The sequence below is a fragment of the Homo sapiens genome, chromosome 3 (assembly GCF_000001405.40).
Source record: "Homo sapiens chromosome 3, GRCh38.p14 Primary Assembly".
In the NCBI taxonomy this organism is placed as follows: Eukaryota; Metazoa; Chordata; class Mammalia; order Primates; family Hominidae; genus Homo; species Homo sapiens.
This window is the reverse complement of record NC_000003.12, coordinates 81,468,775-81,495,359: the sequence shown is the minus strand read 5'-3', so window position 1 is coordinate 81,495,359 and position 26,585 is coordinate 81,468,775. Positions and strand designations below refer to the sequence as shown.

Genomic DNA, 26,585 nt, shown 5'->3' with positions numbered 1-26,585 from the left:
TGGAGTGCAGTGGCGTGATCTTGACTCACTGCAACCTCTGCCTCCCAGGTTCAAGCAGTTTTCCTGCCTCAGCCTCCCGAATAGCTGGGATTACAGCCGCACACCACCACGCCCAGCTAATTTTTGTATTTTTAGTAGAGACGAGGTTTCATCATGTTGGCCAGGCTGGTCTCAAACTCCTGACCTCAGGTGATCCACCTGCCTCGGCCTCCCAAAGTACTGGGATTACAGGCGTGAGCCACTATGCCCGACCCACTGAATGATGTTTTCATTCTACCAGAATTATATGTGTATGTGCTATTTCTAAACTTAACAATTTCTAAGGGAATTTTTTAAATTGCCCTTTAAAGTATTAAATATTTTTTCATTTTAAACTTTTCTTTTTTTAAATGTTTGACACTGTGTTTTCAAAAACTGTGTAATTAAATTTTGCAAGTCAATTATTAGTCCTAGAGGAAAATACAGTCCTAGAGGAAAATAACATTTTGCCTGAATGACATAAAATAGAGCATTGTGTGAGCAGTTATTGTCTTAGCCACACTCATGGTTAGTGAGTCAATTAAGTCATTAAAGTTGTCAAAATAACTGAGTAGATTAGCATGCATTTGACTCTCTTCATAAATGAATTGGATTGTACTGTGCTATTCTGACTCTTTGTGAAGAGCAGACTATTAATATAGCTAGAAAAAAATGAAACTCATGGCTGTATACTACGTTGTCTCATGTTCTTAAGGCGATTCTAGGTATAAAATGTTTAGGGCTTACAGGCTAATAAATGAGCATATGAGATATGTTTATCAGCATGCATATTATCATGAATGATAAGTGGCTTCTATATACAGGTACATCAATATACTTTTTATATTTAAATATACTTAAATGATTGTGTTTAAATCTACTTAAATGTGTTCATGTTTCTTTTCTCTTGCCACATTAATCAAAACTATTTTATAAATTAAAATGATAAAATGAGAATTACAGAGCCAATACTTAGGCTAAATTTTAGGAACCCCAAATTGTTCATGTCTGTAATTGTCTCATCATAAGGGTTAGCTCTGATTATCTTACGTTCTTTAGTATAATCAGTAGTAGTTTTCTAACCACTAAGAAAATTGATTTACATACTCAGAAGAAAACTCAAAATTCCATAAATAGCCATAGTTAAGAAAAATCACTGGCTTAGGGAAATTCTTCCATGTTGCCTATACCACAAAGGCTCTGGAGCAATATAAACACATTCTGGTAATTAACACTGCAGTGAAATATATGTATATTATTACAAAGTATTTCTGTTAATGATACTGTACAATTGTGAACCAAAGGGTTTTTTTTTTAGCATATTGCATTAAGAGGTCTCTAAGTATGATGGAACTGTCATTATAAACCTCCTTACATAAAAAGACCAGCATCAGTTAGTGAGTGTTCTTGGAGCATTTTTTAACCATTAAGTGCCACAATGGGAATATATTGCAGTGCATATGTTACAAACCTGGAACTTTGTTATGGCATCCTTTAAAAAAAAAAACCCTCTCGGATGGGTGTGGTGGCTCACACCTGTAATCCCAGCCTGCCGAGGCAGGCAGAACAGCTGAGGTCGGGAGTTCGAGACCAGCCTTACCAACATGGAGAAACCCCGTGTCTACTAAAAACACACAAAAAATTAGCCGGGTGTGGTGGCGCATCCCTGTAATCCCAGCTACTCAGGAGGCTGAGGCAGGAGAATCACTTGAACCTGGGAGGCAGAGGCTGCGGTGAGCCAAGATTGTGCCATTGAACTCCAGCCTGGGTAACAAGAGCGAAACTCCTTCTAAAAAGAAAAAAAAAAAAAAATTTAGACAAGCTAAATTTAGACAAGCTAAAATGCCAAAACATCAAAGAGTAAGACTGGTTCTAAATTATCATTATGTAATTATTATTATATTTCATTAATGAAATAATGAGGTTATGAATGAAACAGTAGATATCACAATTGCATAGGATCCAAATCTGAGATATGTCACTATAACACGCACTAACAGAGACCTGTCATTATTTATCCTAGGCCTGTCTAATGTGTTTCATTGCAACTTTCCCAGGAACCTTGGACTTATCAGGGTCTTTTTACCTGCATTGTAGGACAATACTCTATAAGAGAAATGTTTTCAATGTAGAGGGAACTGAAATTCTCTTGTCCAGTTTCTGGTTCTACTGAAATGTTTAGATTGGTTTTCACTTTTAGATTGCTCATGGCAGAACAATTCAGAACCATTCAAATTGTAACCTTCTGTCCCACTGATTAGTTAAATCCAGTTACTGTGATCCCCAAAATGAAATATGTAGACTATGACTAGCTGCGGTGGTTCACGCCTGTAATCTCAGCAATATGGGAGGCCAAGGCAGGCAGATCACGAGGTCAAGAGATTGAGACCATCCTGGCCAACATGCAGAAACCTCATCTCTACTAAAAATACAAAATTTAGCTGAGTGTGGTGTTGCATGCCTGTAATACCAGCTACTCAGGAGGCTGAGACAGGAGAATGGCTTGAACCTGGGAGGCGGAGATTGCAGTGAGCTGAGATCACACCACTGCACTCCAGCCTGGTGACATAGCAAGACTCCATGTAAAAAAAAAAAGAAAGAAAGAAAAGGAAGGAAGGAAGGAAGGAAGGAAAGGAAGAAAGGGAGAAAGGGAGAAAGGGAGAATGGGAGAAGGGGAAGGAAGAAAGAAAAAGAAAGAAAGGAAGGAAGGAAGAGAAAAGGAAAGAAAGAAAGAAAGATGTAGACTAGACATCCTAATAAGTACATGGGAAACTCCTTTAGAAGGGTAGGTCACTTTCTCAATTTGTACATGTTTTGCTAAGATGTAGGGAGGGAATGGGTTGAATCAGGCTGTTTTTTTTTTCTCCTTCTTTGCTTTGGTTTGTGTTCATTTTGTCTGTAGCTTGATTATGGAAATGTGCCCTCCTTTGGACTGGGTCTGTCTGGATCTTTGGTAATAGTCCTGCTTTATTCGTGGATAACTCCAGCTTCCTTTTATTGAATCAGTCTCGTAACATCTTACGTATGACAAAGAGAAAACATTGCATGGAAAGGATTGCATTAGCAGTGAAATTCTGATGTGGTATGATAGTTATGAGATATTAAATACAATGTGTAAACTCTAGGGAAACAGTTTGTAGCACTGAAATACATGGTTTTCTCACACTTAGTGACTACATGGATGTAATATTTATCTTTTTGGAAATACTGTATTGCAAAACAGAACATGAGACATTGAGTTACACAGCGACTGCTGGCATTTGTTAATCTTTTGCAGATGACTTTCATTTCCTAAATCACTATTACTTTGAATTGAAGATTAGAAAAACTATTCTCTAGCCATTAAATCCAGAATATAAGTGCCACCATTTTAAAACTGCTTTAACTTTTGATGTTAAAAACTAACCAGCTGTATCAATATGTCTGATTTTTTTAAGAGTAGTATGGGTTCTTTATTGTGGAACCTTAAGAGAAAACATTTGTAGAGTTGAGATGCATTGGACATACAAGTCTCATTCAGTGAAAATCAACTGTTCTATTTGTTTGAGTTTTTTCCTAAAGTCATGTTTGCTTTGCACCTTCATTCTGGTTCTAACCTCTGAAAGCTTTTTTTTTTTAAACCATCAGGCAAGCTTTCATTTAGAGATAAAGTGACTGAAAATAGTAAAATATCAGCAAAGTCAGAAGTGAAGACAGATTGTCACAATGACAACCATCTACAATATTATTTTTACTGTTTGCTTTGTTAATACTTAGATAAGTTGTTTGAACTAGCATATAAATAAGCATTAAGCAGTTCAAATCACTTCTCAATTTTATAAAAAAATTCAGATATATTAGAGAATATCTTGTTAAATATGCACCTATTGATCCACTATTATTCCTTTGTTCATTGTTCATTTTTTTAATTCAGTCATCAACATCTACCTTGTTCAGTGGCACCAACTGAGGGTTAGAAATAAAACGTATGACTTTTGCCTTTGTAAAGCTCATAGTCTAATGAGGGAAACAGATGGTAAACCTGAAAAATCATTCACAAATTGTGTTAAGTGTTCAGAAAGAAACGAAAAAGCTGCCATGATTGGAAAAGAAGAACTTATCATATCTAGGGTTGTCAAGGAAAGCCTCTCCACATAGCTGGGATTTTTCCAAGAGATAAGGAACCAGCAAGGCAAAGAGTGTTTACAGCAGAAGGCACATCATAGGCAAAGATCCAACAAAAGGGGAGTGTTTGTTGTGTCCAAGGAACTGAAAGGCTCCTGCGGCTGGAGTGTAGTGGGTGAGGATGCAAGCAAGGAGCTGAGCTGGGATACCAGATGTAGGCAGGGAGGAGCGAGTCAGGGCTTTGCATGCCATGGAGAGAATCTGAATCCTAGTTTAAGTGCAGTGGCAAGCTTATTCATTGGTTTAAATTGAGAGTTAGGATTCCTTGTATTACATTTCAGTTTTTGTTCTTGAAAGGAAAAAAAAAAACAAGATTAAAAATAAAAGTGTCTTGATGGAAAACCAGTGCCTTGTATATTGCTTTTCTTCATCTAAATGAAGTAGTAACATTGCAAACTGTGGGGCAGCCTTCCTTCACCACCTAATACAGCCTCAACATGGCAGTAACAGGGCCATTCACGTCATTCTTGTGTAAGGAGCATTGGTTTTCATTAAGTCGTATGGCGCCCTCTAGTGGTGGTTGCTTTATGGTAGTCATGTTGCTGCCAGAACTGTTGGAACTGTGAAATTGAGCCTTCTAAGAGCTTGTAAAATTGTAAAGGTAACTGTAACTTTAGGCAGATGTGAGACTGCGTCATGCCTATGTTTCTTTGACATAATGACAGGCCGTTTGGTACTTTCTTCAATTGCACTGACATAATTGTTTTGACGTAGGTGTACATTCCAAGCAGAGTGGCCCTCATCCTTCAGAATGTGGATCTGCCGAATTGAAGAGGCCTGATTTCAGCTCCACCAGATGCAGATTTGTGTTTTGTTTTCTTGTTATCACTGTCACACAGCTTATAACATGTATGCTTTTCAGAATACAGTTGTCTAGCCAAGCCATCAAGTGTCTGAAATTCAATATTGGTTTATGCAAATACAGCAAACTTTTATTTAAGTAGATGGGAGAATATGTTTAAAATATTAGGAATCCTAGACCATATTTTCAAGTCATCTTAGCAGCTAGGATTCTCAAATGGAAGTGTTATATATAATATGTTAAAAACATTTTGCTTTCCTGGCTAATTATTTGATCCTTTTAAATTCAAATTTGAATCATTTGTCATGTATGATTATTTCTGTTAAATGTACACAGTATTTAAGATGGATATTTGGTGGCTCTATTTGTTCTGATATCTTTTGGTCTAAATTATGAGGTACCAAGATTGTTTCTTTGTTTCTTTTTTTCAAATTGTGTTTAGAAATACTGTAATAAATATGCAGTAGTGATATAAAGAATTATATCCAAGGTAATATAAAAGCCATTACGTATGAACTCATCCGTGTCTCATTTTGTGTTTTATTTTGTGATCTCTTGTCCACTAAGTATCTTGTTAAATGCCAGTATCTCAGTCTTTCTGAAGCCCTGAAATGGTAATTGTAGCATTTCAGAAAATGTCTTTCATTTCAATCAATAAAAAGCTTTTGTAAAATTGCCTTTGCTAATGTTTATTTTGCTATACTATTATAGGGCTTGATTATAAATGAATATTATTGTATTCTTATACCTTCTAATACCTTCTTAACTCTAATACCTTCTCCACATACATTCACATCTACATGATGGACTAGGAAGCATGGAGATTAATATTTTTTTTAGGCACAATTTTGTAACTTGAAATCACACTAACCAATTTTGATATCTAAGCTACTCCTTCGTTGTAAACCTGAACACTTTTAGAAGCTAAACTAAGTATCTCCACTCAGTAGAATACTTCTTCATGAATTTGCCCCTTGGTTAATTAAATACCAGGTCACAGGTCTAAGATAATTGATTCATAACTGAGAGATTATAATGCACTTATGGGACATAAAGTATCTGTTACTTTTTTAAAAAGAACAAATTTTTCCCTAATATTAATACTGACTGCTTGTTTTTTGTTTTTAGCCTGATTATTTGCAGTTAATTAGAAATGAGTTCTTTCATTAAAAACTCAGTAGGAGAGATAAGCAATAGAAACATTTTTACAGCCAAGCCTGTACTGTATATTAAACATCATCCTTAAACTGTTTTAAAATAAAGCCATGAGCATCTAAGTGTGAAAGGTGTTATTTACTTTAACTTCTAAACAGAATAGTAGTTTGATTTCCTGAAAGAATCAGCAGTGCCAGCTGATAATGATACATGCTGGGGAAAATTACTGAAAGTCATCTGTAATGGTTTTCCCATTGCATGGACATTATTAATATCTTAGCACTCACATGGTCTGTGTACTGTGAGAGTTATTGATTAAAACACAACGCAGAATCATGAAGCATGATATTTCATGTTGTAGTTTATAGTTCCTTAATTTTGCATGTGTTCTATATGAAGAGATATACTGTTTATTAGGTATAGTTTTTAAATTATAATAAATTATTTAACACCTGGAACACATTTACTTTTCATTTTGACCTCTGGCAAAGTGAGGAAGAACGGACTAATTATATGCCATATTTTCATTATATTGATTGATTTTGCTAATAGGTTCTTTAGATTTCACAGTCTAAAGTTAGGATTTAACAATGTAATGTAAGTTAATTGCCCCTGTCAAGTGCCCTTCTCCCCCACCCAGAAGAGCAATAAATGCATGTTGCTAGGTAGGAATTACAAAAACCCATACAAACAAATAAAATATTAAGAGTCCAAAATGGAAAGCAGTTGGGTTATATCACAGAATAGAGGACCTTTATGGAACATTCTAATATTCTAATATTTTTTACTGTAGGACTTTTCATTTATGTATCAGTAACATTCTCATTGTTATGTCATCTTCTAGGAAGTTCTTTATTGGCTAAATGTTTTCAATAATCAAAACAGAGAGTATGGCCATTTTCACGATATTGATTCTTCCTACCCATGAGCATGGAATGTTCTTCCATTTCTTTGTATCCTCTTTTATTTCATTGAGCAGTGGCTTGTAGTTCTCCTTGAAGAGGTTCTCCTTGAAGAGGTCCTTCACATCCCTTGTAAGTTGGATTCCTAGGTATTTTATTCTCTTTGAAGCAATTGTGAATGGGAGTTCACAAGGTAATTTATAGATTCAATGCCATCCCCATCAAGCTACCAATGACTTTCTTCACAGAATTGGAAAAAACTACTTTAAAGTTCATATGGAACCAAAAAAGAGCCCGCATCGCCAAGTCAATCCTAAGCCAAAAGAACAAAGCTGGAGGCATCATGCTACCTGACTTCAAACTATACTACAAGGCTACAGTAACCAAAACAGCATGGTACTGGTACCAAAACAGAGATATAGATCAATGGAACAGAACAGAGCCCTCAGAAATAATGCTGCATATCTACAACTATCTGATCTTTGACAAACCTGAGAAAAACAAGCAATGGGGAAAGGATTCCCTATTTAATAAATGGTGCTGGGAAAACTGGCTAGCCATATGTAGAAAGCTGAAACTGGATCCCTTCCTTACACCTTATACAAAAATTAATTCAAGATGGATTAAAGACTTAAACGTTAGACCTAAAACCATAAAAGCCCTAGAAGAAAACCTAGGCATTACCATTCAGGACATAGGCATGGGCAAGGACTTCTTGTCTAAAACACCAAAAGCAATGGCAACAAAAGCCAAAATTGACAAATGGGATCTAATTTAACCAAAGAGCTTCTGCACAGCAAAAGAAACTGCCATCAGAGTGAACAGGCAACCTACAAAATGGGAGAAATTTTTGCAACCTACTCATCTGACAAAGGGCTAATATCCAGAATTTACAATGAACTCAAACAAATTTACAAGAAAAAAACAACCCCATCAAAAAGTGGGCAAAGAACATGAACAGACACTTCTCAAAAGAAGACATTTATGCAGCCAAAAAAACACATGAAAAAATGCTCACCATCACTGGCCATCAGAGAAATGCAAATCAAAACCACAATGAGATACCATCTCACACCAGTTAGAAGGGCAATCATTAAAAAGGAAACAACAGGTGCTGGAGAGGATGTGGAGAAATAGGAACACTTTTACACTGTTGGTGGGACTGTAACTAGTTCAACCATTGTGAAAGTCAGTGTGGTGATTCCTCAGGGATTTAGAACTAGAAATACCATTTGACCCAGCCATCCCATTACTGGGTATATACCCAAAGGACTATAAATCATGCTGCTATAAAGACATATGCACACGTATGTTTATTGCAGCACTATTCACAATAGCAAAGACTTGGAACCAACCCAAATGTCCAACAATGATAGACTGGATTAAGAAAATGTGGCACATATACACCATGGAATACTATGCAGCCATAAAAGATGAGTTCATGTCCTTTGTAGGGACATGGATGAAATTGGAAATCATCATTCTAAGTAAACTATTGCAAGGACAAAAAACCAAACACTGCATGTTCCACTCATAGGTGGGAATTCAACAGTGAGAACACATGGACACAGGAAGGGGAACATCACACTCTGGGGACTGTTGTGGGGTGGGGGGAGGGGGGAGGGATAGCATTAGGAGATATACCTAATGCTAAATGATGAGTTAATGGGTGCAGCACACCAGCATGGCACATGTATACATATGTAACTAACCTGCACATTGTGCACATGTACCCTAAAACTTAAAGTATAATAATAATAAAATAAAATAAAATAAAAAGAGTTGCAATAATCAAGAGAATTGCAAAATTTTACTCTTGTAATGTGCCTTACAATGTTTTTTCTCTGACGTGTTTATTACCAACATCAGAAATGAATGACCTGTCTTTGTTGACTTTTTAAAAATAAATATTTTGCTGTTTCAATTTTTTATGTTCTAGAAAACATGAGTACAGATTTCTTGCTATCATTTTCTAATATTAGCAAACGAGTTCTAGTAGTTGCCCTATTATGCATAATAGGATTTACACCTAATGCTAGTGATGCATAAGGTTTTCATTTAATAAATAGCCTACTCAGAAAATACCATAGCTCATAATAGCCAAAAACTGAATTGTAAACATTTCTCCTAGAATGTTTCCCACTTTATACCACTTGAACTCTGAGGGTCAACTTTTCTCATATTCTCTTTTCTATAAATGTAATGTTTCTCACTTTGCCCTGTTCTTAGCTGACGTGTGTATCTCTAACCTAAAATGAGGGAGTTAGCCACCATGTTCCTCAAGTTCAAAAACTAACCAGTGATAATAAATTGACTTTTCTTGTAACAGCTGTAAAAGAATGCAAGTTTTTTTTTCTTTCTCTGACTGAAGCACTCCCCTTAGCAATACCAATTCAACATTTGTCACCCATCAGGGTTATAGCCATTGCTATGGGGATCATACAGGAGGTTGTCTGAATAAGAAGCCTGTTCTTCAAATAATACAGAAGAGAGTGGAAGCGAGTGCAGACAGATCGTGGGGGAAGCGATGAAAGGCCATGTGTTTCCCTCTCGCATTCAGCTTTCAGTTTCTGGAAAAGTATCTTTTCTGTCTCTGGTCGTGAAGCCATTGAATCTGGTGATGAAAGCAATGTAAAATTGCTTCCTTATTGCTTTTCCTATGTAGAATGAGCTGGAACAGACAGACCTGATAGAGTCCAAAACAGTGAATCAGCTTTCTGGCTGGCCTTGTGCCTCTCAGACTATTTCTTTTTACTATTTTGAGTCATGCCCTAAACTTGAGGTCTTCAGAGTAGTGAGTTTCATTTCCCTCTCTATTCCTTACAAGGGGACAAGCACTGAGCTAGGTAGAATATTCTGATGAAAGAAAATAGCATAGCAATGTCATGTCCTTTAAGCAGTAGAGTTCATTTATCATTCACAATGTGTTAGAATAGAAATGTAGATAAATTTTCTAACTAAAGCCAGCCTTTAGGGGGGAAAAAAATCAAATGAACTCCCTGCTAATTTTTCTGCCCTATTATCTTATTAATGGTGATTTGTAGAGAATTTCAGAGAAACGTTCATACTTCAGGGCAGAATTTCTTAATTGGTAGTGTGAGGAATTATAATACAGTAGCTGTAAGTGTTTTTGTCTCCATAAAGTGTTACATCTGGATTTTAACTCTTGGCAAAAACTGTGCAGAGAAAGCAATGTTTATGTACATTAAAAAAATGTATTTTGTGTTAGATATGCTTATGCTAACAACATGTCTTTCAGAAGCTTACTTATGACTTACAGTTTTTCTTGTCATTTCTGCTGGACCAGAGAGAGGTGTTTGGCCCTTATATATGCTGTGTAAACTGTTTTACCCAGAAACCTGAACTGTATTTTAAAAGAATAGTATGATATAGTGGTCAGGAGAGGTGGGCTCAAGTTGCAGCTCTTCATGCTCAGTGCCTCATTGCTTATGTTTCCTCTTGGAACATACGGATGTCCCAGTGAATTCCTTTCCCCTACGGTCGATGTAATGCCCCCTTAGTGTTCAGCTACTCCAGGCTTTGCACTAATATAGCCCAACCTTGTGAATGACATTTAACAATATCTCTATGGTAACCAAGAGGGCAATGTAAACTGTATACAAACTGAAATAGCCTTAGATCCCATCATAGCAACCAAGTGTTGAGGTTCTCTATTTCGTTCCCTCTTCCCCTCCTACTCGCAACCTAGGTAGACTACAGGCAGAAGGAATAATTGACAGAGGAAGCAAGAATTGCAAAAGAGAGCTCATAGGTAGAAACAGTTTGGTTCATCTTTTTTTGTTATGAAAGTCTGTACTCTCAAGAACACACATTGTTATTAATAAATGTTTATACAACTAGATGTTAATTTCTTGAAGATGGGGGAGGGATATCAACCATTGGCCTGAAATTTCAACAGCTGTCTGGTAGTAACAGTAAGGAAATACAAAACAGAAAATCGACAAAAATGCTATCACACCAAATTACTTTGCCACACAAGAATATGAATTAAATGAAGTAAGTGTTCAAATTCTTTATGCATACTTGTCTAAGGTAATACAGGAAATAGAAAGCTGTAAATGTGTGAATAAACTCATCCAACATATACATATTATAACATATGAATGTGTGAAAAAACACATATATAATTTGTAAGTCAACTGAAAACACACAAAGTTCACTAATTCTAATATTTGGCTTGAACCAGTGAATCACTTGATCTCTGTATGTGATACTTGTTCTCAATTTTAGGTATTTTTCTGGTTACATACAAGCATCAAACCCAAACACATGATTTTATTTGGATTTAAAGAATGTTCTAGATCTGTGCAATGAAATGCAATACATATGTTTCAAATCTTTAGGAATTTCTCACCTCACACTATTTAGCTATGAGTCTTCTATTTTTCCTTTAGAAAGGAAGGAGGAGGAGATGAAATAACTTTATCCCTTCTTTATTTATGTCCAATAAGGATTCTTTTTTAACTGTTTGTAGTGTCACTTTCCATCGACTCCAGTAATATACATGAAAAATACTGTGTGCAATGAAATTGCACACACACCCCAAGCCACGCTGTCAATTATTGATTACAACTGATCATATGATATTACACACATACAAACACACAGTCACTCTCTATTCCCTCTTGTTCTTTCTTATGGTAAGTGGGCATCACTCAGTGGGACTTTTCTATGTAGAAAAAGCAGTACAATACCTAATTCTTTACTGAAACCCCTATTTTTTAAAAGACATACTATATTGGCTACCATGTATTAAGCCTTTTCTTTTTACTGTGTCCTGTGCTGAGCACATTTTTATTCTCAAACTGCAAAATTATTATTATTGCACCCCTTTTGTCTAGTCTGTGCTGATCTCACTGTTCTCAGCTGTCTTTTATGCTAGTTACACAAAGGATCACCAGAAATCTCTAAATCAGGGATCAAAAGTTGGCTCTCTCTGTTGTATTATTTTGCTTGCTTGCCTTTAATTGAATCTGAATGTCTATGTTGGAGGACAGGGTGGCACTTGAAGCCACTTGGGAGGATGGGATGCCCCACTTTGCTGTAAGATATGAGGCATGAGTTTGGAGGACTGCCCCAAAGAGTGAGAGCTCATGCCAGGGGTGATCCTCTATCTGCATTTATTTCGCCATTTTTGGCCCCTGCTCTCGCACTCTCCCTCATTTCCTTGTTGGGTATTTTGCCTCATGATGACTGTATACTGTCGTTTGACTCCTCAGCAAGTCATTATCATTTTCTTTATTGTCTCTGCCATAAGGAGAACTAGGAATTATTGTTTATATTTCTCCTTTATCCTCATCATTTCTTAAAAAGTTTTTGAGCATGATGCTTCTATCTTATCTTTATTTCTCAACTTAAAGTCCCCATTCCACTCATTTAAAAAGAAACAAAATTATAAGTCAGACACCAAAAGGCAAATAGTACTACATGTTCTCACTTATATGTGGGATCTAAAAAGGTTGAACTCATAGAAGCAGAGTAAAATGGTAGTTTCTGGGGACTGGGGCAATGGTTGCGGGGCGGGGAGAAGTTGGTCAAAGTGTACAAAGTTTCAGTTAGAAGGAATAAGTTTTGGAGATCTGTTGTATAGCATAGTAACTATAGTTAATATCAAGTTATTATATACTTGAAAATTGCTAAAACAGTAGATCTTAAATGTCCTCACCACAAGAAAATGGTAAGTTTGTGAGATGAGGGATATGTTAATTTGCTTGATTTAATCATCTCACAATGTATACATGTATCAAAACATCGCATTGCACATCATAAATATATATACAATTTTCATTTATTTATTAATTGCAGCTTAATAAAGCTGGTGAGTTGATTCGATGAGGCCCCAACCACACTACCGAGGGTAATATCTTTTACTTAATGCCAATTCATCGTTGATGTTAGCCACAACATTGTTGGTGTCAGCCTTCACAACAACGCCTAGATTGGGATGTGGTTAAATAACTGGGCATGATAGCCTATCCAAGTTGACACGTAAGAGTAACTATCACAGGAATATTCTGCAGAATACATGACCAGACAAGGAAATGCCAGACAAGGAAGTCTGAGAAACTGTCCTAGACAGTCCAGAGGGGGCTAAGGAGGCATGACAACTAAATGTAATGTGGTATCCTAGATGTGATTCAGGATCAAAAAGGAGACATTGTGGAAAAACTAGTGAAATCCAAATCAGATGTAGAGTCGTGTGTGTGTGTGTGTGTGTGTGTGTGTGTGTGTGTGTGAAAAATAAAAACAGATACCTGAATAGATAGTTCTCCTTTACTGGAGAAATATAGTGTTAAAACAAATTACATCCGATGTCCCAGGGAAACAAACCAGGGCTGAAAGACACTGGGATCAGGAGCCTCAACGCAGTTTTCTGAAGTCACTGGAAAAATGACAGCCCACTGTTTTTCAGCATCTTCCCTGACCAAAAGACAAAGCAAAGATCTAAAACCATGATTGCATGAAAGCAAATGTCTAAAATGTAGGTCTCTTGTTGATCTGCATTGGATTACTTCCTGTAAGATATTGCGCTTATTATTTGGGTATTGGTTTACAGGTGAATAAATAAAAACATTCTGAAACAAAACTCAGGATATTTGGTAAAATTTCTTTCACATTTAAGTTACTCTTAAGTAACTTAAATAAACAGTAACAGCTTCTAGGGTGTATACTTTTCAGCCATCTATCTAGGAGCTACATTTCATGTTAAGAAACAAGAAGTTTGTAGACGTTCAAAAATTAGGGGCTGTGACTGCAATTCTCAGCTGGGAGAAGCTAGGACCAATTTACGAGTAAATCCTAAAATCTTAATGACTGGACAAAACAAAAGTTTACTTTTCATTTATATCACATCTCAATACAGAATAGCAAGGGACTCTTATCCATCCTGTAGCTATGCTATCTTGAACCTGTGGCCTCCAAAGTCATAATGGAAAAAGAGAAAACTGAAGAACTGCAAAAAAAAAAAAAAAAAAAAAAAAATGTCCAGGCACGGAAGTGGTTTATCCTCTTCTCACTGTCCCTTCTGTCCCATCCTATTAGTCAAAATTCATTCATATTGCCCTGACCTAACTGCAGAGCGGGCTGGGTCTTCCTGTGTCCAAGAGGGAGAACAGTGCAATGAAAACAGCATGCCATCTGCCGTAATTGCCAACAAAGTCTGGGAAATCCTATATACTTTATTCCCCCTTACAGAATCATGATGCAAATTAAATATTAAAGGCCCTGAAAATTCCTAAAATAAGGAAATTGATCCAGCATTGTTTAATTCAGTATTTCCCAAACTCATTTAACAGTGTTCAACTCAGTTCTCATTCACAGGGAACATCAATAACATCTTAGGGGAAAAAGCTCTATTTGCCTAAACACAGTATACAGTAACACAAAGATAAATTTATCTCTCCTTTTTTTTAATGTGTCTATGACCAATAACTCCCTCCTTCTAACTCCCTTTTGTGTGTGTGTTGTGCATTTGCCATCCATTTTCCTCCATGGTCACCTGGTCTAGGAGTCAACATTTCTATTAAAATGATGATCTCGTGATTAACTGTCAATGGACGATCTTATTTCTTTAGATCCAGAAATCTCTTGATAGGTTTTTTAAAATTGATAAATAATAGTTGTACACATTTACAGAGTGGGTGTGATTTTTGTTACATGCATAGAATGTGTAATGGTCAAGTCATGGAATTTAGGATATCTATCACCTTGAGCACTTATCATGTCTATATGTTGGGAATATTTCAAGTCCTGTCTTCTGGCTATTTTGAAATACACAATGCACTGTTGTTAACTAGAGTCGCCCTACTCTGCTATAGAACATTAGAGTTTATTCCTTCTATCTAACTGTATGTATGTACCCATTAGCCATTCTCTCTGCCCCACCCCCAGACATTCGTCCCAGACTCTGGTACCTGTCATTCTACTCTCTATCTCCATGGGATCATGAGAGGTGTTTAATTGGATCCCCAAGTACTGACCTCAGAGTTCTCTTGAATGAATGTTTCTGGGTTATGAGAAATCTGAAAACCAGATTAACGACCAACTTCTAGAAACAGAGTAGGATGTTAGGATAAACATTTCATTTAATTGCTGGATTGATCTGCTTTTTTTTCAGCCTAATGTTTTCTTGCTGATTACTGTTGCCTATATTTTAAAATTCATTTTTATATCACTTATTGTAGTATATGTATATTTGTGAACTATTTGCATTATTTTTGGAGAAAGGCAGTAAATAGATGATGGATACACAGATCATAGATAAGTACATAAATATATAGATAGATAGATGAATAGATGTTTTAAATATGGCTTCTGGTGTGATGGCATAGTCCACAGTGATCTGTTTCAATATTTTGTGACTGGTTGCTGAGGAACCACTTAAAGCTAGTGAGAAGTGCAGAAGCTTCCCTTGATATTTTATTAGTATAAAACCTGGATTTTCTAAATTCATGGAGATTTCTGCTTAATGTTGTAAAAACAGGATGTTATTTCTCACTCTAATGTGTAAAACATTGGAAAGTCTATACAAAAAATAATAAATGTTCTGGGTGTGGCAAAATAATAAATGCTTATATGCACTTAATCAAACTTCCATTCCTTTATATATCTAAATCATTAAAAAATGTATATCATTTACATAGATACATGTGAAAAGTTAAGAGAAGCTCTTAATATGGGACAAAATAAAAAATAATATTGGATACAGGAATATATATTATACCCTGCCTTTATTGACAGGCAGTCATAAAAATGAAGTTAATAATGTTCAGCTTTCATTTTGTTCTTTTGAAGGATCATTCTCAAAAATTATTTTTGTCTCTCCTGGCCAGTTATTCCTAGTACTTCTCATAGAACTAGTACGAGCATAAAGTGGGTCTATTCTTGACATTCTGACTAGCTAGCCAAATGTCAGTTTAAAATAGACAATGTTGTTATTGATTCATTATTATTCGTTCATATATTGAGATACTGTGCCAGGTTCTTGGAAAGTAAAGATAAATAAGATAGAATTTCACAGCTTAGTAAATTGACTGTAGTCACAAAGGAGCAAATAGATTTGTTACTGTGTCAGAGTCTAAGAGTCACCTATCTAATGTCCATTCTTCTGTCTTCCACAGTAATAGAACCATTATTCAGGTGCCAAATTACAAGTTTCACCCATGTGTCTAAATTCCAGACAAAAGAGGAAGTTGGGTGGGACTTCTGGGATTCCTGCTTAAAAGGAAAAACAGAAAACTCAAACATTTACTATTAACAAGCTTCTCCTTCAGCTGCTTGGAATGTGTATAAAATGCTGGAGATCTGCGTCTATCTTAGCTATGAGACAACTTTACATGCTTGATGGCAGATGGGAAAGAAGGATGCAGATTTCCAATAATTTCCAATCATACAATTCTGAGCTGCCTTTACTCACTTTATTCACGTAAAAAAAAAAGCCCTTATATATTTACTAATATATTTAGGATTTTCTGTTACTTGCAGTCAATACAATCCTAAATGGTTCACTTATCAATGAAACTAAATGATCTCAATTGATAAATCAATCAAGAAGTTGGCCTTGGATACATAAGATTCAAGTAGGTATATGAGCAGGGCTCTAGACATACAGAAAGGAAGCACATTAGTATATTAGAACTAGGAAATTACATTGAATGCTCTCTAAACATACATTAATTCCTTCAACATGAACTTGTAGTCCAAAATGATGGAAGCACAATATCTGTGAAGAAAATGATTTAAAAATAAAGGTGTAGTAAGTTAGAACCAGTTTATAAATAGCCTTCAATGTCTAAGCTAAGAAGACTGAATTTAATTTCTTATGGATTATAGAGTCATTAAAAATTGTTTACAAAGTGAGAGAAAAATATTTAGAGCTGAAGAAACCTTAAAATCCTCTAATGTAGTGATTTTCAAAATATGCAATGAGACATCTTCATTAACACCTACATGGTGGGCAGGGAGGGGGCTGGAGCAGAGTTTGGGGCTGCTTACTGGGCATGGCTTCGTGGCGCTGAGAGCCCTCATTCATAGGAACTCTATTTTAATCTGTTTATAATCCCACATAGTAATGCTTTTAACAAAATATCCCAAAGTGAATAGTATTTCAAATCTACCAATCTATGCCAATGTTAAAATTTTATTTATTGGAAAATTTTGACTCAGAGAAGTCTTTGCCCATTATCCCACTATGAGTTAGGACTTGACCACAAGTCTACAGAACACTAGCCAGTTTCTGTATTTCGTTGTAGGGTGCAAATCAGAGATGTGCTTTAAGATCTTCTGAAATGTGCTTTGAAGAAAATAAATGTCAGAGGCTGGGCTACCAGTTATAACCTACTTCAGTTGCTACACCAGAGATGGTGATGGGCTGAAACCAGAGAAGTTTCGGTAGAGCTACACAGGTAGGGATGTGTATCAGTGATCCTTAATAGATTCTAAGCCTCTTTTGTCAACAGTGTAACCAAACCTCTGCTTTTAATTCCTTGTGCTTTAAGCTCTCAGAACAGTTTCTCCTTTTCTGATTGCATCCTGACTGATTCATGGTCAATGCCCTACCTTTTACTGAAGAGAACTGTTGAGGTTGTGAATTTAACTTGCATGGTAATTTTGCAGGCTGCAGCCTCAAAGTTTGGGCCTGATTTTTTAATGCATAAGTCCTGAGGCTACAGAAGATAAAAGATGATTCCAGTCCAGGTATAGGCATTCTAGTGTTCTGATCATGCCTTGAGCTGAGAGTTTAAAATCCTGAGCATTCTTGTTCTTTAATCTCAGTGTGGACATCTTCCCCCACAGTCCTTGTGCTCATCGCTTTCTTGTCATTCTTTTCCAAGTCACTTGGACTCTCCAGCTTCACTTTCATTAGGCTCTGTATGCCAGGTAACTACAAGTGACAATTTAAGTAACTGTTTTGTCTGCATTTTATGGACTTTCATCTCATTTTCCACCGATGGTAAAGTCATTACTGCCTACAAATCTCACTAAATGAAATAGCCAATAAAAAATATTATCTTCAGGTGATTCTTTACCTAGGAAGTGCTTATGGTGCCAAATGATTTATCAGTCAGGGGCAGACAAGAAAACAGACATCACTAAAGGTATTATAAACACAACATGATTTATTATAGGAGCATAGAGACAAATGTTGGAAGTGCTGGTAAAGCAAATGTCAGGAAGTTACTTCTGGCTTTCAGAAATTCCAGAAATGACAGAACTACAGAAAAGCCATTGCTAATAAATGTAGCTCTCTGAAACACTAAAGTCAGTGTGATTCTCAGGAGGATACCCAGATATTGCTGGAAGCTTCGCTGATTATCACAGCTGCCTACAGCACTGAAGTGGTTAATTCTCAGGAGGATGGCTGAAAGCCAACGGCGAAACTTCCCTTCAGCCATCTGCAGATGCCCTTACTCTAAAAAGAGAAATGAAGTTGCTGAGGAAGAGCACCCCATGCACAGTGCAGTGCATGTGCAAAGACTATTGAAACTGAATTCATAGTGCACCCAGGCCTTCTTGCTTTGCAGAGTAATGAGGAATTATAAAAATGACAGTATAAGCTAAAACCACGCAAAATGATCTTAATCAAAAAGAAAAAAACATAATTGTTTCACAACCTTTTAACATTTTTGTCAAACTATTAAAGAGTCTGTTATTATCAGTTAAAATCAAATAGAAAAATGAAAAAATAGCAAAACTAACATTTATTTAGTACATAGTAGTTTAAAACATCAGGAACAATGACAATTAGCCTGTTTTCTTTCTTTGTATAAAATATGTCAAGAAGAGGTCTTGAGGAAAATAAAAATGAACAATAACTGTAAAATTTAAAGGTGAAGAATAGTGATGCCAATAATTGACATAGAAACAAGCAGTACAAAAGTTCGAGGATCAATGAGGAGCCTGATCTCGAACTTTTTTTTTTTTTTTTTTTTTGATGGAGTCTCGCTCTGTCGCCCAGGCTGGAGTGTAGTGACGCGATCTCGGCTCACTGCAAGCTCCGCCTCCCGGGTTCACGCCATTCTCCTGCCCCAGTCTCCCGAGTAGCTGGGACTACAGGCACCCGTCACCACGCCCGGATAATTTTTTGTATTTTTAGTAGAGACGGGGTTTCACCATGTTAGCCAGGATGGTCTTGATCTCCTGACCTCGTGATCCACCCACCTCGGCCTCCCAAAGTGCTGGGATTACAGGCGTGAGCCCCCGCGCCTGGCACGAACTTCTTAAATTTTAAGTGCATGAGGCTAATCCATATGGAAACACCCAGCATGCTGATAAAATTTCAATCTCCATCTCAGGAGATTCGGGAACTAGAGCTACAAATGAAAATGCCGTGTACAAAGAAGTGGTAAGTGAAGTTAGGAAATAAAATTGCTGAACTCAGACCCTTCCAGTAGCTCCCAGGTACATGGTATGAAGCAGATAAGCTCAGAGAATGGTAGATGGTAGCATGAGGAGAGACATAAGGAATGGAGAAAATGCAAAGTTATGTAACAAAGGGCAGTGAATTTTAGAACAGAAGTAATGGCAACAGTAACAAAGACAGGCAATGGTAAGAAATGTTGCTGAGAAGTAGGGTAAGTCCTAAGTAAAAACTCATTAAATCTACCATTTAGAATGTTAATGGTGATTCTTTATAGAAAACAGGGGATAAAACGCTTGGAAATAAAAGAAGGAGGTTGGAAAGATCTGAGAAGTGAGTAAGCAGTTGATGACTAGCAAATGTGGACTATATTTTTTAGTTTTTTGTTTTTTGTTTTTTTTTTTTTTTTAGAGAAAGAAAGGATAGCTTTATAATACACCTTGAGAAAATCTAATATACCTTGAGCTAGTAGAGAGATAAAAATTGAGGATGACAGTTCAGCAGAGGTTGAGAGGGTTAAAATTTCTTTCTTTTTTTTTTTTTTCTTTTTTCTTTTTTTCTTTTTTAGAGATGGAGGCCTGGCTCTGCTGCTCAGTCTGGAGTGTAGTGATGCAATTATAGCTCAGTGCAGCCTGGAACTCCTGGGCTCAAGTGATCCTGCCTCAGCCTCTGGAGTAGCTGGGATTGCCAGTGTGGTCCACTGAGCCCAGCTAGAGGGTTGGGATTGGGAGAACAGATTGAGGGTGACTTGGACAGGAGGAGGGCAATTCTTCCTGAGAGGGAGGTAAAAGGGAGGAGGTATCAACTCAGATTATTAGGTGATGAAGCAGGAAATGAGTGGAGGCTTCATTGGCATGTCACTTCACCTTAAAGTTGAATGGAGAGGTCCATTGCACCAAGAGGAAGAGGGAGTGCCAGATTGAGAACTTGTGAAGAGCTGAGAATGGTTTGCAACATTCAGTACAGGAGCTGATAAAACATACCTAAAATAATTGTCTTGTTGTTTTATCTCAACTGATAGGTTAGATCACGTGAACTTGACCCATGGATAAGCCAAATTTTTGTTATTTTTTTTTCTATTTTAGTTCTTAGCTAAGAAAATTTCTGAGAGGTGGAATGAAGGAAAAGAATCTTTTAGTGTTAGAAACAGCATTGTTAAAAGGGTGTCTGCATAAGAAGAGTAAAACCAGTTGGAAAGAATTGAGAATATATAGTGACTGTAGTATAGGGTGATGGTAAATATCAAGTTTATTAAGGAGTGGCAAGCAATTCTTTGTTTTTTTAAAAAAAGTCTCTGTCTTTACAAGAGTTCTGTAGATATTTACCAGTGTCGAATATTTTATCTTCAAATTCAAATACGTAATTAGATTCATACTCTAGCATGCTTCTTCAGCCCTACCTGTACTTATCTTTTTTTCTGAGAATTTTGTCAGACTGTTGGATCTTCTGCTTTTTTTCTTGGGAAGGTTTTTTCCTATGGGCTCATTTCTGACATTATTCAGTGTGTAATTTCTTTTCTATCAAATTGATTTTTCCAGAGTGGAGAAAAAAATCCAACTTATTATTCTAAGAAAAGAGTTTGCCTCATTTTTTTTAAAGAAATAAAACCTAATAGCTTGGTGCCTTTTGGTGAGTGAGCTGGAAAAATTACAAGTATCTTTCTTTCTACATAATTATTTCCATTTGGGCATATGGTTCTTAATAAACGATGAACTGGGTCTGAGTCTTATTTGTTCACTGTGTGAGTTTGGTGTGGATGCTCACACGTCAGTTCTATCAGCTAAGGTACAATTCTTGCTTTGGAACTGCCTAGAAAAAAGAAAATATTTGATTAAAAGAAGAAACCTAACTTGAATTAAGCTCTGAGCCAAGGAATATAAAGAAAAATTAATTCTTTTAAAACATCACAGTCCTAAACTGGAGATTGACCAAAAAAATTATTTAAAATCAGAATTAAAAGAACTAGAAGCTTAATATATTCAAGAAAAGTGGAAATAAAGTCATGGTCCACCTAAGGACCTCATATAATTGCTGAAGCCGATACAACAGTGACTTTCATATTTAACGACTCTGTTCCCAGAATGTATTTTGTGTGTGGGTAGAGAAATCCTTTTCACAGCACAGTGAAATGACAGTGAAAATGGGAGAAGAAAAGATGGCCATGCTAAGGCCGTGGACCAAGAGACTTGGCATAAAAAAGAAATGGCTTAAGTGAAGGGCAATAAATAAAATTATATGTGAATATGCACACACAGTAAATCTATTTAGGTGCAACCCTAAACCTCTCCCATGTTCACCACTGGGTTACCCAGCAATTCACAAGTAGTCAAAACTTTGGTTAGAAGCTGCCTTGGATGTGTCAGTTGCTAGTTGTGTGCTGAATAAAGCTCCAAGGAAAGGACACTCAGTCTATGCTGCATTTGAAATCCAGGAATATATCTTTAAACAGCAAAGTTGATGAGCTGGTGAAGGGGCCTCAGGAGGACAATCATTTGGCTTCACTGAAGGAATTGGCAGTTTTTGCATTCGCCTCCTGATGAATTTCCATACTCCCCTGATTTCCAAACTTTTCTTTTCTCTGCCTAGCCTATTTATGTTTCTGTTCTCCCTCTTACAGACCTCAGATTTTGATTACTCCTTTTGTGCGAAAAGTCTTCCTGCTCAAAGCCCACTTTAAATTCCCTCAAAGGAGATAAGATAAGCATCAAGCACATAGACAGATACTATGTTTCAACACAATAGCTGAAATGAATTTTATCTTTTGACCCACAGATTTCCTGTACTCATGAACTCATAGCATGTTACATTTCCCAGTGACTTATCTTTATGCAATGTTGTTTCACTGTTGTGATTATTTCATGTTTGTGTGTCTTGCTTCTTTAGCGCTCAAGTCCTTGTATTTCATGGCTTGCTTTCATTGTTTTCAAACCACAAAGCAGTATATCTGTATTAGTCCATTTTCAACTGCTATAAATAAATACCCAAGACTGGGTAATTTATAAAGAAAAGAAATTTAATTGACTCAGTTTCACATGGCTGGGAAGGCCTCAGGAAACTTACAATCATGGCAGAAGGCGAAGGGGAAGGAAGGACTTTCTTTGCGTGGTGGCAGGAGAGAGAAGTACAAGCAGGAAAAACGCCAGATGCTTATAAAACCATCAGATGTCATGAGAACTGACTCATTATCACGAGAACAGCATGGAGAGACCACCCCCATGATCCAGTCACCTCCCTCACTGACACATGGGGATTACAATTTGAGATGAGGTTTGGGTGGGGACACAGAGCCAAACCATATCAGTGCCACATGGTTGTACAGAGAATATGCTCAATTAATTTCTAGTGTGACAAATAATTTTTCCCATAGAAGAATTTGTACCCAAACATATCGTTTACCCCTTGGTATTTTACTTGCCTGTTTTACAAAAGATTCATGCAAGGCAGTTCACTAACTCCAACATACTGAAATGATAATCAAATTTTTGTTATGTAGTGGCTCATTGTAGAAGAGCTGATCAGATTTAACTATTTCATGTTGCAGGTGAGGACACAAGAATGCTTATTCAGATTACTTTAACTTGTGGAACACAATGGAGAAAAACAATGGCAACAGCCAGAGCAAAAGCCACACAAAACTTAATCAGGGTTGTCTTCTACCTTAAAACATGTAGCCTGACTTCCCTTCCCCTGACTGTAGAAATTTAGTTTGTCTGAATTTTCTTCAATATAAGTTTGCGGCATAGGAATAATTTCATTACTTTTGAACCTAAGTCACTTTCACACTTAATTCTTCATAAAAATGTTCTCCAGGGTTTAAAGAGAATTATAATTTCTCATGTTTGGACTGTCTTATAGTAAAGAGGTGGAAAATAGAATTAACTGCAGCGAAATGCTATGTTATGCATCGCTTTAAAATTATTCATTTTTTATTTCTTTTATTGAACTGGAGTTTTTACTCATGATTGACCTTCAGATGATTCTGAATATTACTTTCTACCACAGAACTGAGTAGCCTAGTGTTGGCTTCTTAGGTTATGAAACTACAAATTGAATTGGCTTTCCTGAAGCTTAAGGCTGAGGTCGTTGGAGTGTCTTTTAATAGAGACTTACAAATTGAATAGTCAAAACTTTTTATCTGAATGTTAACATCCACCTGTAATCAAAGTCCATTTGTGCTTTGGCTTTGATAATTTTAGTGATGGCTTTCTTATGAGCTTATTTTAGCAGGTGACTAATTCAGAAGAGGCAGTAGTGTTTGGCAAATCCTGATATGGAAAATGATCAAGCAACATAAAAATGTCATACTAAGCAGTCGACATTTGATAAAACTCATTGAAAAATATCAAGGCAATCAGTCAAGAAGTATGTTATGTTTTTAATGGCATACTGAGAACACAATGATGGCTACCTATGATTGCCAATATATCACCAATATCATGTTCCTAAGCACAATGGCAGGAGACAAGATTGTGCCATTCAAGATGGCACTTTCCCTCACATAGTGTAAAACCTATTTGGAGACACAAAACAAGGAAATAGTTATATGCATAAAATTGAGACAAGGTTATGGTAGGAGGGAATATTACAAATGAATTTTTTTAGACAGGCCAATAATTTGGCCACAAAATAGAGCAGAATTTGAATTCCTTGATGGGAAAAGCAAGGTGAATTGAAGGAGATGAAATAGGATCAGGAAAGGCACAAATGAGAGTGTAAACATTTTATGGCACAGGACATAGAAAGCAACAGCCAAAGTAAAGTAGACCATGCTTGGTGGGGTGTCGGGGGGAACAAGGCTGAAGACATAGATTTATGAGGGCCTTAATAGAACTGAATATTGTACCCAGTGGAGAATCAATACTGTGTATGTTCTTGAGCAATAAAATTAGATCATGACATCATCCGTCTGCAAAGATTAATCATACTGATGCATTAAAATGATTGAAAGAGAAGAAAGGTGAGAGTTGGAGAAAATAGTTTCAGATTTCCAACTGGACTACTCCTGAGAAAAAGAATGGAGAGGAATGTATAAATATAAGAGACATTTTGAAGGAAGACACAATTGAGCATTATGACTTAGCTGAAGAAAATGGAAGTGAAAACACAGCCATATGCCAACCTTACAAATGACCAAATATCTCTAATGAGTAATAAAATGCTCAGTGTGTTTATTTTGCTTTGCCACCTTGACTGTTCAAAGAATTTATTCATTAAAAAGTAATGTATCAACGTCAAGCCAGCATGTAGGAGGCTAGCAAATAACAGGAAAGTGGCCTCACCTGACACTATTCTGAGACAACAGAATGCATACCCATTATGCTTTACAGAATGCCCTTCATGACTGCAAAACAGAGATTAAATCTTTTTCATTATGATAGAAAGCATGGCAGTTTCCCAACATTTATTCTTTCACCCTTGCGCAAAACCCCTTACTTCTTTGAGTTTCATACCATATCTCACCCCTCCTCATAGCTGTCATTTTCTAATCTTCTATTACTCTCAAAAAGTGTTGAAGCGTAGATACCATAGTCATTGCTTCCTCTGTATACTGAGATCTGGGAAGAGGAGCTGCTGCTACCCCTCGGAAATCTTGAAATCCCATATACCCCTGTATGATCACAGTCTCTCATTCTTTCAGTCTCACTCACACCTATATTCCTCCTGATGCTAATAATTTCTCAGTGACTACCAGTTGCTTTTGCCTTTACCAAAAACACTCATAACTACTTTAATATTTAACTTCCTCACAAACCTCCCCTCATACCAACAAAACAAAACTCCCATCCTGAATGTGTGCCATAATCTACCATTCCTCCTTACCTATTTCATATATAGTATGAGAATATCCATGATTGTTAACCTCAGCGGGTTCCTCAAATTCAAGAACAGGTCTAGAGCAAAAAATAAAGACAAATGTCTTTCACTTTTGTTATCTCTGCCCACTGAAAAAGAGCAGCAAACTGCCAACTGGCTAAGGTTTCTATAATTACAGTGATTTCTGCGTGTTCATGTTCATGTGTATAAGTGTGTGTGTGTGTGTGTGTGTGTGTGTGTGTGTGTTCCTAGGGAAGAATAAGGATTAAATGAAAGAGAAATCAAATTGCTTATTTTACTGTAAATTAACACTCAACATTCTGCTCTTTTCCAATTTCCTCTAATACCTTTTACTTCTCAAGTTTCTTGAGTACAACTCTAGCCTTATGCAATATCTGATCCTTTTCCTCCTAGAATAAAAGTGTCTAGAGGCTTTCTGGATTAAGTGTCATGGTGCAATAATTACAAAGAGATTTGAAATTTGAAAACTTTACTCCTTGTTCAGAAAAATTTGGTAAATGAAAAAAATAAGGATAAGTTTAAAGATGTATGTGTGTATATATTTGTGGGTTATAGATATTTATACCTCCCCAAAATATAAAAGTAAGAAAAGAATTTTAAATTGAATGTAAGATTATATTTACACATGTCTCTACCATTCTGAATATTACAATATTCTTTTACTTAAAAAAGCCAAAGTCCCAACATGGTTCCTTCATTCTCTCATCAGAAGGGATTAGCATACAAGTTTTCCTGACCTGAAAAGTAACCTTTAGCTGACAAATCCATGTTAAGGAAATGAAAAACAGCAGTGTTTCTACTCTTATCCATTTCTTCTAGTCTCTTCTGATGTAAAAATGTTTCGACTTTCAAAAAACTATTGTTTTATATCTGCATATGTTAAGAAAAGCTTTAAATAATTAAGGTGCTTTTCTGAAGTGAGCATACATATAAATTTAAAATTTAAGGCTAAGCAATAAAGTATTCTCTTTGAATTAAAGTGAACTTGCTGAAATGATTCATTAAACCCTTAAAAATAATTCAAACTGCAAGAATATATACTAATGAATATTTCCTACACAGCTTGCAAATTAAGTTGAAAAAGTCTACAAAGACATAGCTATCAATATAGGAATTCTGATAAATCATACAGAGTCATGATTTTGCTATAAAAGTTCATTAACACATGACATTTATATGGTTGCATACATTGTTAGTATATAATTGGCAGCCTCACAAAGCCAATGATTTCACACAGGTAGATTTTCCATTATTCTAAGTATACCTTTAAATCTCCAAAGATATAAATTTATTGCAACAAAGTGTTACTGAACAAAGCAAAGAGAATATA

General features: G+C 36.3%; 1 protein-coding gene across 1 annotated transcript in view, besides 1 other annotated feature; it reads left to right on the top strand.

Moving 5' to 3' along the window:
• The window catches only part of GBE1 (1,4-alpha-glucan branching enzyme 1), a 271,943-nt gene extending 266,286 nt beyond the window's left edge, over nt 1–5,657 (top strand). Inside the window, exon 16 of the mRNA NM_000158.4 lies at nt 4,897–5,657. Coding sequence (NP_000149.4) covers nt 4,897–4,953 — 57 coding nt within the window. The 3' untranslated portion in view covers nt 4,954–5,657. The remainder of the gene's footprint in view (nt 1–4,896) is intronic.
• Nucleotides 4,567–4,616: a silencer, noted in NCBI's record as "silent region_14538". NCBI's record gives its function as "represses an Ori minimal core promoter by ATAC-STARR-seq in GM12878 lymphoblastoid cells {active_cell/tissue: GM12878}" and the evidence as "EXISTENCE:reporter gene assay evidence [ECO:0000049][PMID:35858748]".